At 40.8% G+C, this 12,613-nt stretch overlaps 2 long non-coding RNA genes across 4 annotated transcripts in view, besides 1 other annotated feature; one reads left to right on the top strand and one right to left on the bottom strand.

The window, feature by feature from the left end:
- Positions 1-7,909, top strand: part of LOC102724553 (uncharacterized) — a 43,914-nt gene extending 36,005 nt beyond the window's left edge. Inside the window, exon 3 of the long non-coding RNA XR_001751520.2 lies at positions 6,340-7,909. This is a non-coding gene — a long non-coding RNA (uncharacterized LOC102724553). The remainder of the gene's footprint in view (positions 1-6,339) is intronic.
- Positions 1-12,613, bottom strand: part of LOC124900354 (uncharacterized) — a 165,186-nt gene that overhangs the window by 82,584 nt on the left and 69,989 nt on the right. The window lies entirely within an intron of this gene.
- Positions 4,954-5,013: an enhancer, noted in NCBI's record as "active region_9372". NCBI's record gives its function as "activates an Ori minimal core promoter by ATAC-STARR-seq in GM12878 lymphoblastoid cells {active_cell/tissue: GM12878}" and the evidence as "EXISTENCE:reporter gene assay evidence [ECO:0000049][PMID:35858748]".

Genomic DNA, 12,613 nt, shown 5'->3' with positions numbered 1-12,613 from the left:
TTATGTGCCATTTTCAGAACATCTATTTGTCCCATTTCCTTATTCCCAGCCATGTTCTCAAGAAATGAGTTTGCTCCATTTGTGACCTCTTAAAAAGTGACATTATTTAACTTGGTATTTGTTAACTCAATTCACAATTCATTCATTCATTCTCAAAAAATTTTGAGCACCTTCTGCATACTGTGTGGTTGAATTACGAAGATTCGTGCATGATCTCTCCGTCAAGGAGTTCACAGACTAGGGCACTGACTTTCAATCTTTCCTGCAGTTGTGAATGAAGCCTGTTGGGACTCTATGACAGCCTGTTATATTAGAGGCCAGTATTTACTAAGCACATACTAGATGCCAGGTTCTGTTCCAAGTGCTTCAAAAGTAGCTTATTTTATCCTCAAATATCTACGAAGTAGTTGTCATTATTATCTGCATATACATGAAGAAAGTGAGACTCAGGCATGGGAACACACGGTTAATAAACATTTGGAACCAGAATTCACTCTTCAAGCAATACAAATCTAGAGCCCACATTCTGCTTCCTGGGGCTATGGTGCTTGTGAAATCAATAGCGACAAGAACAAGCACAGTAACCACACAGTAACAACAGCAGCCGTTTTGGCTATTCTATGCCACTTGCCATGCACTGTGCTAAGCTTTCAGTATTAATTATCTAATTTAAGACTAATAACAACTTCATGAGTGGGCACTTTCATTAGCTACATATTGCAGAGGAGAAACTCTTGACTTAAAAAGGTTAAACAACTTGCTCAGGATACACATCTAATAATGAGGGAAAATGGGGTACAAAGTGCTTTTTTTTTGAGACGCAGTCTCACTCTGTTGCCCAGGCTGGAGTGTACAGTGGCTTGATCTCGGCTCACTGCAACCTCTGCCTCCTTGGTTCAAGTGATTCTCCTGTCTCACCCTCCTGAGTAGCCGGGACTACAGGCGTGCACCACCATGCCTGGCTAATTTTTGCATTTTTAGTAGAGATGGGGTTTCACTATGTTGGCCAGACTGGTCTCAAACTCCTGACTTCAAATGATCCGCCTGCCTCGGCCTCCCAAAGTGCTGGAATTACAGGCCTGAGCAACCACGCCCAGCCCAAAGTGCATTTGTGGGGACAGTTTTTGGTGGCTCATGATCTTCATGTCCTCTAACCAAGTGGGAAGAGACAGATAAGGTATCCACTGATTTGCAGTAAGTATAGCGTGAAGTTCTTTGGGAGCAGAATAAATCAGTCTGCAGGTGGAGGGAAAGCTTCCCAGAAGAAGTCACCCTTGAGCTGAGTTTTGAAGGATAAGGAGGAATATAGGTTGAAAGCAATGAGGAGAAGGGAACCCAGGGTGGAGAGAATAGCACCTGCAAAGGCTGAAACAGGAGACAACAATGTGAGGCTAGGGAGGCAGGCAGGAGTTCCGTTACACGGGGCCCTGAGTGCAGAAGCAAAGGCATCTGCATGGCATCTGCTCTGTGGGGAGCCGCCAGAGGCTTTAAAATGTGAGAGTGGCTTGTCAGGTGTGACTGTAGAAAGTACTTCTGGTGTCTGCTTAGGGCACACTGAGTTTATGGTGACTCACGGAAGTCTATTTGGGATATGAATCTTCAAAGGGATAAAAGCTGGGTGTTGCTGCTGAGGTCCTAGGGTGCAGGGAGACTAGAGATGATGGAAGTGGGGGCGGGGGTGACTAGAAGGAAGGAGAAAAATTAGACTATTGTTCTCATCAAAGTCAGATGTGATGAGAGCCTGAGTTAAGGCACTGGTAGCAGAGACTAATTTGAGGACTATTTAGGAGAGAAAATCAAAGAATGGTAGGAGTGAGTGGGAGAAAGTCTAGGAGACTCCCAGGTGAAGCATGATAAAGTATATTTGCCAATTGTCTGGGAACCAATCTGGAAAGGTCAGTGAAACATCATGGAAAATAAAATGAGATGGTGAGAGTTGTATGAGCAGAGCTTCATTGATGGACATTCTTGACTACAGTCAGAGTTGTTGTGTGATCCACATGTGCTACATGAGCTGGCTGATGCGGGGCTGGGGGTTGGAGATTCCCAAGTAACCAAGACCAAGTGTTATGGGTTAAATTGCCCCCTCCCCCACCCAAATCTATATGTTAAAATATTAACCCCTAATACCTCAGAGTGTACCCTTATTTGGAAATAGTGTGTGATTAGCTGTTAGGATGAAATCATACTGAATTAGGGTAGGCCCCTTACCTGATAGGACTGATGTTCTCATAAAAGGGGAAAGTTTGACACAGACACACACACCAGAGTTTAAGGTAACATGTGGAAGTATATGGGATATGAATCTTCAAAGGGAGAGGAGCTGGGAGATGCTGCTGAGGTTCTAGGAGAAGAGTGCACAGGATATATGGCCCAGAATCACTCCAAGACATGGATGATAAAGAAACTGTGGTGAGAAGGAAAGTCGGGGCAGGGAGTGGAGGAATGTCTGGGCAGGCAGGAGGCAAGCAAGTGGGAGCCTGCCTTATTCAATAAGGTGAAAGTGCTGTGCATACGGAGTGCCTGTGTCTATTCAGACAAACACATGGATGCTATTATGTTGTCCTGCTGTGAATGACAGTCATTCTCACTGTCTCCTTCAGCCCATGAAATAGCTCCCTTGATCATATTAAATTGTACCTGGCTCCCCCTGAGCTTCAGGAAATGGGAGTTGCCATGTGATACTAGCATTAGGTTTGCAGATCCATCCCAATATTTTTCTCTTACCTCAATTTCCTGGCTCAGGAGCGAATCTTGGTTTACTGACTTATAATTCAAGGATGAATGAATGAAAAAGAATCCCTTTTCATGCGGAGTGGGTTTGAGGTGTAGACAAAGGCTGTCTGTCATTTTTTGGTGATCTTGTGTTTGTTCACTTCTGCTAGAAACATACGCCCTAAGTAATAATAACAACAGGATAATACCTTACATTTACAGAGGGCTTTGTACTTTACCAAGTGCTTTCACATGCATTATCTCATATAATCCTTGTATACCATTGATGTGAATTCTGGCGTGAATTTATACAATCCCATCACTACCATTGGTAAGAAGTTAATTATCGACTCATAATAATTGTAGAGTCCTTCCTGTGTGATCTTCACAGACACTCTTCGGAAGCCCAATGGAAGTTGCATTCTTACACAACAGGAAAATAAAACTTTCCGGGAATGGAGACATGTTTCTTTAGCCTATAATTTGAACACAACACTGACTGGGTTGGGCTTTGTGGGAAGATGCAATGAGAGATTAGACAGAGTCTCTGCTCTCAAGGAACTTAAGATTTGGCTAGAGAGACAAAACGTGGAAACAAAAAAGATGACTTGGTTAGAGGAACTTACAGGGCAAATGTTTGTGGGAGGTACAAGTTGGAAGGGAGGTGGATGCGGTGGAGTGTTCGCTGAACACTTCATTAAGAAGGTGGGGCTGAAAGGCCCTCATTTTATGGGAGGGGAAGTGGGAAGCTGCCCGCAGGGGGCACACTGCTCACCTTTCCACAGTGGAATTTGTTAAGCTTTGGTTTGCTTGTTGGAAAAAGTCAATGGCTTGCTGCCAGCAGGCACAGGTGTGCCTGAGCATTCACAAATGGCATTTCTTTGTGGAGCTTTGGAAGATCATCTTTTTGCAGAGCCTAGATATGTCCTAGAGAAGGTGGAATATTAGTTGTAGGCAGTGACTTGTTGCACTGGAAACAGCAACAATTTTCAGACAGATAAGTAGAACTTGCTTAGGGGTCAGCAATATTAAAAAAAGAAATAGGGTACTCCAGCCTAATTAGCAACTTTTGATTTAGAGTGAGTCTCTATTTGTGAATTGGATGTGGCCCAAATTGTGGTCCATGGACTGGCAGCATCAGCATTAGCTGGGAGCTTACAGAATTGAAGAATCTCTGACCTCACTGAATTTAAATCTACATTTTAATGATATCACCAGTAGGCACATTAAAGATAATCAGTTACTGGGAACTCAGAGCATGTCTTTGAGTTCCTACAGGGTCAAAAAATGTTATTTAACCCATGATGGTTCTAGTCATTGCATGGTAAACATAAACATTAATTTATAAAATTATTCCTATGCACAAATATATTCTTAGGTACAACTTACAGCCCTAAGAATAGCCACTCTCCCTCTCACCACCCTCAACATGGCCACAGGGCATGGCAACCCAGTCTTTTGCCCTTTGGGTTAGTTTATGGGGAAGGTCTCATGAATCCTGCTGAGCTGGGAATGAACATCAGGTACGGTGAGGAAAAAGCATGGGCTTTGTAGACAGATGTGGCTCCAGATTGAACTCACTTCTCAGACAATATATCCTTCTTTATAAAACAAAGCTATAAAAATAGAGATGTTACCTACCCTATAGGTTTTTGAAGTTTTAAAAATATATATTATTAATTACATCTAGAAAAGTGACTGACATATTGAGACTATTCTCCAAAAGCAAAAGCAATATTAATTTCTACCCCTATTCCCCACAAGTAGCTTGCTGTCTAGCTTAAGTCAACCATTCACCTCTTTGAGACTCAGCTTTCACTTCTGTCTAATGAGAATCAGGGACTGGATGATCCCTAAGATCCTTCCTGGGGTGTACAAGGAGAGCACACATGGGGATGGCTGCTGCCTCACTCTGCTCATCTTTGTCTCACCCTTGTGCTTCTTGGGCCACCCTTCACAGCCTCTGCCACCTGTCTCTGAAACGGAGGCTGGCAGCCTAGAGGAATTCTAGTATTTTCCTTGAAGGACCTATTTCTGCCAGGCAAGTTGATAGCCTGGGTGAATTGCATAGTGGTTAGAAGTACTAACACAACCAGGATGCCTGATCTGAGAAGATGGCTCCACTGGGCATCCTTGGCTGCCAATGTGGAAACCCAGATGAGCTCCACCCCTCTCCTGAGACATTTGAATCCTACTGAGAGACTCTGTAGGGATCCCAGGGCTTATGCTGCACAAATGGTGCCCAGCAACAAGTTTCTCTTCATACCGCAACTGAAACGAAACCTCTTAGTCATGGGGGCCCAGTTTTACGGAGGAAGTCGTGGTAACTTGCAAATTATCGAATTATGAGGTTTTTGAAAAACTGTTAACCCCAGTTCCCCTTGGCAAAGATGGTTAGGCAATTTTGTTTTTGGCTGGGGCTTCTGTAAACAAGACAGGATGGATGCTCGCTTTGTGGTTGGGAACTGCTAGAGGGCGCACTGCCAAGGTGGTTTCTCTGAGTCTTGTTTTTCCTGCTGACATAAAGGTTTCACCTGAGCCCCTGTATTTTTCTGGTCCTTTCTGAGACACAAAAGTAAAACAAAAACAAAGCCCAAAGAAATCAAAAACCAACTGTTAGTTTCTAGGAGGTTTGGGTTTGGAGGGAAAACAAGACTTGCCCGGTTCTTTGCTTGAACATGTTTGCTTCTCTGAGACTGGTCTCTTTCAGCTCTGCTCTGCTCTGTTGTTGCTCTTTTCTGTCATAGATGCCTTGCCATTTGGCCAGTTCTATCCTTCTACAATTTCTTCTTTTCTTCTCTTGAACCATGTTCTCGTTCTTATCACCATTTCATTGAGGGAGCCATTACTGTCTTCCTACCTACAGTGACAAAGTAGAACACGTCTCTAGTAGGATGGTAGGATGTTTCTCCAGTGCCAGAAAGGCCACTATTGATTGACCTTTCCACCTACACCTAAAAGAAGATTTGATTTCAACTTCCTTTTGCTGCTCTGAATTTTGAAGGAACAATGAATCAATATGTCAATAAATATTTATCAAGCACTTACTCTCCTCTGCCTTACTGTAGGAGTGGAAGAGCAGTGCTTCTTAAGTGTGAACACAGGGTAACTAAGAGCAGGAAAGCCTGGACCTGCGCTCCAGGAAGAGCTTGGCATGGGCTTGGGGAGGAGGGGGTTGTGGAAGGGTGGGGGTTGTTGGTGAAGCCTGAAAGTCCCACTCCAAGATTCAAGAAACTTCAAGAAATTTCATTCAAGTTTTATCTTAGAAAATAACATAAGGCTTCCATTTTGCTCTTGAAAATATGTTTTCATGTGTAAATAATGTGTAGATTATTTACCATGGAATAAAACCAATGCTCCTGGAAGATATTTGCTAGATGCTTCTCATCTTCCCAACAGGCAGTGGAGACTCCAGCAGTGTGCTGGCTCCAGTGTGGGAGTATGACCCCAGGAAACAGAGTGTGGTGATCACGTGGATGTTCAGAGGCAGATCCAATGTAGAATATTCTGCCCCACTATTCTCTCGCATGGACCTGTGCTTGCAGACCCATATGAGCCAAATTTTAATTCAGAAAATAAGATTCTTGTTGGTTTAAAATAATTATATTTGTTCTGCCTTTACAGAGTTACTAATGTGGAGAAAGAAGATTATCATGTGTGGAACGAAGGACAATATGAACATTAAATAATGCCCTGACTCATTCCAAAAAGAATCTGAGATGACCAATAAAGCCATTTTTAATTGTTTATTAGTGAACAATAGATTATGAGTGCTAAAGGGATTCAGGAAGAAGAAAGATCAGTGCAGAGTAGAGAAGTCTGATGGATGCATTGAAGAAGCTATGCTTGAGCTGAAATGACAAGAGAGCTGTTTTTCGCTTTCAGAATTATTATGTGGCAATGGTAATTGACAACAGAGAAGCTGAAGGTATGAGGACAAGGGTGTCTTATCTTTCCCCAGAAGTCTTGCTTGGCCCATGGGAGAATACAGGCCTGCACCTTGGACTTGGAGTCAGTAGATTCCTTCCTGTGATTTTTTACAAGCTCAAACATCCCCTGACTGAGTCATTCACCAGAGAAAGAGGCTTTTCAAATGATTTGTGCATTAGCTATAGTCTGCCTTATTCAACCCCATTTTAGTGTCACAAAAGCTTCTTCTTCCTACATTGTTAGAGCCTTTTTGACTTTTCTGAAACGACATCTGCTCACCTCTTGGGTAACACCCTGCAGGGCTCAGTCGAGCTCAGTCACCCTTCACTTTTTTTTTTTTTTTTTTGAGCCAGTTTTGTAAGGTGCTGAGGGAGGTTTGTATTAGTCCTTGTTGCCCCTAGAAGAAATAACAGCTATAATTTTGGCCCCGAAGAAAAGGAACAGGTATGACTATTCTCTCTCTTTCTCTCAAACCACAATCTACTCTAGGGAGGAAGTCACTTTATGGGAGCAGAGTCACTCTCAAGTAATAGCTGGCCATACAGATTGCTCTGGACCAAGGGTGAATGTGAAGAAGAAAAGACCGGCCAGCAACACAATGGAATATCTAGAGTCATATTGAGGGAAATACTTAGATTGCTGATTTCTTAGTGGATTTCACAAGCAGAGCTGCTTGTGAGCAGAATGGTGAAGTAGGGGCATGTGTTTCTGGGGTCTTATTCCATGGCTTCCTTCCACCTACAAGAGTCATCCTCACGGAGTACTTGCATTTCAGTAGAAGAAAAAAATCTTATAGATGGAAGGGAAGGATGGGGTTCCTGCTTTAGGAAGATTGGCATGGTCATAAGTCTGAGCAAGGAAGGGCCCAGGGCAGCTCAGAGCTCTGAGCAGGAAGCTCTAATTAGTTACTGAATATGGTGCAAGCACAAAGAGAGCGTAGTGTTTTCCCTTTCCATCTGTGGAAGTCTTGGCCATGCTTACTTGGGCGTTCCTTCCAGGAAACATTTATTTTTCCTCTTTAATGCCCTCCTCATATCTATGCTCTCAGTAGAGGATGCCACTGCTTCTGGCACCTGGATAATAGAATGAAGCTGATTGGGATGGAAACAGAAAAGTCATCTCTCAGAACAATGAGCAGAGACTGAAACTCCCTTGTACCCAGTCCCTGTGCACTGCTGTTCATAGCCAAATGGGCAAGGCCTTGCCAAATGTCATGTTGAGGTGAGGCCCTAAGTGATAGAAAAATAAAAAATGACTATGGCCACTTGCATGTTCAGAGAATTCAGTTTAGAAAATGCTATGCTGGGAGGATCTCTCTTAATATCTTGTTTGCATCAGAATGTTCAAGTTGCAATATATGTTTTTGTTTTGTGTATTTATTTATTTTCCTCTACTCTATTCTGTTAAGTCTTTTAGGGCAAAGGTAGGGTAGTCTATACTCCCTGCGTTATCCATAATGCCTAGCACTGTGTCTTGTACATAAAAGGTCATAATAAATACCTGTTGGCTAGATAGATGAATGGATAGAGTGCCTCATTTAGAAGCATTATACTTCTATGGAAAAAAATTTTTAAATGTATTTTTTTCTATGAGATAACACAGTTCCTGAATAGGTCATGGGCAGGTGCTATTCAAGTTTGCGAAGGAAAGGTTTTCCTAGAGTTAGGGTAATTTTTTCCTCAAATAAGAAAAACCTACAGTAAATAATTACTCTCCATATTATCTTTAGGTTTCTTGCCAGTATTAACATCTTTTTTATTGTAAGTGATGATATTGTCTGTGAGAACATTACAGTAGGTTAGTATCCTGGGTTAAGCTAAGTGTTGTTGAAAATAATCCTGGACATCCAAACAGGAAGAGAGGAAGTCAAACTATTCCTGTTTGCAAATAACATGATTCTATATCTAGAAAACCCTGTAATGTCAGCCCCAAGGCTCTGTGAGATCAGAGATAAATAACCTCAGCAAAGTCAACATACAAACATCAGTAGCATTCCTTATACAAACAACATCCAAGCTGATGGCCAAATCAGGATGCAATCCCATTCACAATTGCCCCCCCAAAAATATAAAATACTTAGGAATACAGCTAACCAGGGATGTGAAAGATCTCTATAATAAGAATTACAAAACACTGCTCAAAAAATCATAGATGACACCAAAAATTGGAAAAATAATCCATGCTCATGGATTGGATGAATCAATATCATTAAAATGGCCATACTGCCCAAAGCAATTTACAGATTTCACAGATTCAGTGCTATTCCTATCAAAATATCAATGACATTTTTCGTGGAATTAGAAAAAACTATTTTAAAATTGACATGGAACCCAAAAGGGACCCCGAATAGTCGAGGCAATCCTAAACAAAAAGAACAAAGCTGGAGGTATTATATTACCCAATGTCAACATATACTACAGGGCTATAGTAACCAAAAGAGCATGGTACTGGTACAAAAACAGACACATAGACCAATAGAACGTAATAAAGAGCCCAGAAATAATGTCACACCACTTACAACCATCTGATCTTCAATAAAGCTGACAAAAACAAACAATAGGGAAAAGATTCCTCATTCAATAAATGGTGCTGGGATAACTGGCTAGTCATATGCAGAAGATTGAAACTGGACACCCCACCTTACACTACATACAAAAATCAGTGTAAGATGAATTAAAGGCTTAAATGTAAAACCTAAAACTATAAAAACCCTGAAAGATAACCTAGGAAATACCATTCTGGACATAGAACTTGGCAAAGATTTCATGATGAAGACAACAAAAGCAATTGCAACAAAAACAAAAATTGACAAATGGGATCTAATTAAACTGAAGAGCTTCTGAACAAAAAAAGAAACTATCAACAGAGTAAACAGACAACCTACAGAATGGGAGAAGATATCTGCAAACTATGCATCCAACAAAGGTCTAATATCCAGATGCTGTAAGGAACTTAAATTTATAAGCATAAACAAACAACCCCATTAAAAAGTGGGCAAAGGACATGAAGAGATACTTTTCAAAAGAAGACATATATGTGGCCAACAAGCATATAAAAAATGCTCAACATCACTAATCATTAGAGAAATGCAAATTAAAACCACAGTGAAATACCATCCCACACCAGTCAGAATGGCTATTATTAAAAGTTGAAAAATAATAGGTGCTAGCAATGTTGTGGAGAAAAGGGAACACTTATACACCACTGATGGGAATGTAAATTAGTTCAGCCACTGTAGAAAGCAGTTGGGTGATTCCTCAAAGAACTTAAAAAAACAGAGTTACCATCCAACCTAGCAACCCCATTATTGGGTATAATCCAAAGGAATATAAATTGTTCTATCATAAAGACACATGCACATGTATATTCATTGCAGCACTATTCGCAATAAGAAAGATATGGCATCACCCTAAATGCCCATCAGTGGTAGACTGGATAAAGAAAATGTGGTGCATATACACCATGGAATACTATGCAGCCATAAAAAACAATGAGATCATGTCCTGTGAAGCAACATGGATGGATCTGGAAGCCATTATCCTAAGCAAACTAACACAAGAACAGAAAACCAAATATGGCATGTTCTTACAAGTGGAAGCTAAACAATAGGAACACATGGATATTAGAAGGGTAACAGAAGATATTGGGGCCTACTTGAGGGTGGAAAGTGGGAGGAAGGAGAGGATCGGAAAAATACCTATTGGGTACTATGTTTATTACCTGGATGATAAAATTATCTGTCACCAAACCCCTGTGACATGCAGTTTACCTATATAACAAACCTGCACATGTACCCCTGAGCCTAAAATAAAAGTTTAAAAAAAAAAAAGAAAATACACCTGGACCCTATTTTGAAAGACATACTGTAGACTTGAGGGAGGAAGAGCAGAGGGATGGAAAGGGCCCCGAATTACCCACAAGCCATGTGAATGCTTAAGCAGTCATGGACCACAATTCTCACCACACACACACACACACACACACACACACACACACACACACACACACAGGTCTGAACCCTTACCCCTGTCTACTACTTATTGGAGCTTGGTAGAAAAAAAGTTGTGAGTGACAGAAAAGTGAGAAAAAGAGAAGAAGAAGAAAAATTGGAAAGTGTGGAAGAAAAAGTGGCAAATGCAAGCAGCCCTTAATGGAACTGTGCTGAATTGAGAGACAGCAGAAGGTAACAGCTGGCTGGGACTTGGCCATGAAAGGTGGAATGTGAGGAGACAAATGAAATGGAAATGCAGGAAAGAATGGAGTGGCAAAGGAGGCTGGAGATGGGGCAGAGGATAGCAAGGGGAGAGAAGGAAGCACAGAAAGGGTGTGGGGGACAGGCCAGAGAGTAGAAGGCTAGATGGAACTGACTGATGCCACCAGTCAGAGATGGAGACCATTAACAATGTGTAGGGAAACCCCTGCCTTCCCAATAATGAAAATGCAGGTTTAATCAGTACCAAGGAACACTGTGAAGTAAGGGCATTGACTTGGGAAGTGAAAGCCGAAGATAGAGCAAACCCCATACGGCATATCCTAACTCGCCATTTTAACAGCAGAAAGACTCGAAAATACAAAGCAAAGGATTATCCAAAGGGCTTTTTAAAATAATGCTTAAAATTTTAATCTTGTAAATATATTTCCCTTCCCAGTATGAAAATAATTCCGAGTATAATCTTTATTTACTTTCCCCTTTTTATTTTAGAAGAGTAAACATAGCTTTAAGAATTAAAAAAATCAGTTAATAATCTGACTTTTAAGTCAGCTGTAAAAATGTAAGTTTCTAGCTCTGCCACTTTTTAGTAGTGTGACTTTGGGCAAATTGCTCAAAAACTCCAAATTCTTGTTTCTTTACCTACAAAAAAGGGACAATAATACATACCTCCTATGATAGTAGAAAATTACGTGAAAATATACTCCAAGTATCTCAGAGGGCTTGATTTCCAGAAAGCGCCCAAGCTCAATCAATAGTGACGTTTACTATCCACGCAGCCAGTTCTACTACTGGGAGTTGGTTGGTGCTGATAAAGCTTTTTGTCAGACTTCTCACAATTTCCATTGTGAGAAGATGTAGCTTCCAATTAACTCTGTCACTGATTGTTGGGTAACTTTGGGCCAAATGCTGTTCCTTAATGAATGTGGGTGTGAAACTTATTAAGATTAATGACTGTCACAGCTGTTAGCCAGATGTTTACATAATTCCCTCTGTTTTACAGCAATCATATCAGAGGAAAGGGGTTGAATGATAGAATTAGAAAAATAAGTACAATATTGTGGGAATGAATAAATGTTGTTTTGGAGGGTAGGAGATTAAAATCCTAAATGTATTTTGATTAGGCTAATATTAAAAATTAGCATCTGTAAATCAGTAATCTAATTGAAGGAATTTTTTAACACAAGTGACTGGTGGAGGGGACACAGCATGGGAGGGCATGCTTACAGCAAGAGCTCCATTGATTAAATAGTCCCCTGCAGAACACAGAGAGTTAAATACGTCTTTAATAGCCTCCAGCATGAAAGGGCAAATCATTTGTTTTAATTGAGGAAGGATAAAATATTTTTGCTTTACACATATATGTTCTATTTTAGCATCATAGTTATTTTTATAGCTGTTATAACTTCACAAAACCTAATAGGAAAATAAATCTGAATCCAGAAGAGTTCAATACTTTCCAGAGGAGTCTAGTAAATAAAAACTCTACACTGACTGACTGATCTTATTCATGCACTGCTCCTAAACCCAAACTCTCAAGTGAAGGGAAAAGAGGTTAATTCGTTGGAATAAATTCATGGGATTTTTTTTTAAAGACACATCCTGAATCAAAGTGATTAAAACAACAAATGGATAAAGGGTAGAGCTGTGAGAGGACAAGGTTTGCATTACTGAGCATCTTGATTATGTGGGGAAGATGGGAAACAGATCTTGCCCATTCTGGTCTCAAACTACTAAATCCTGAGAATGCCAAGAGGC

Source organism: Homo sapiens, chromosome 15 (assembly GCF_000001405.40).
Source record: "Homo sapiens chromosome 15, GRCh38.p14 Primary Assembly".
In the NCBI taxonomy this organism is placed as follows: Eukaryota; Metazoa; Chordata; class Mammalia; order Primates; family Hominidae; genus Homo; species Homo sapiens.
The sequence above is the reverse complement of the archived record's forward strand: the minus strand, read 5'-3'. Positions and strand labels throughout refer to the sequence as shown.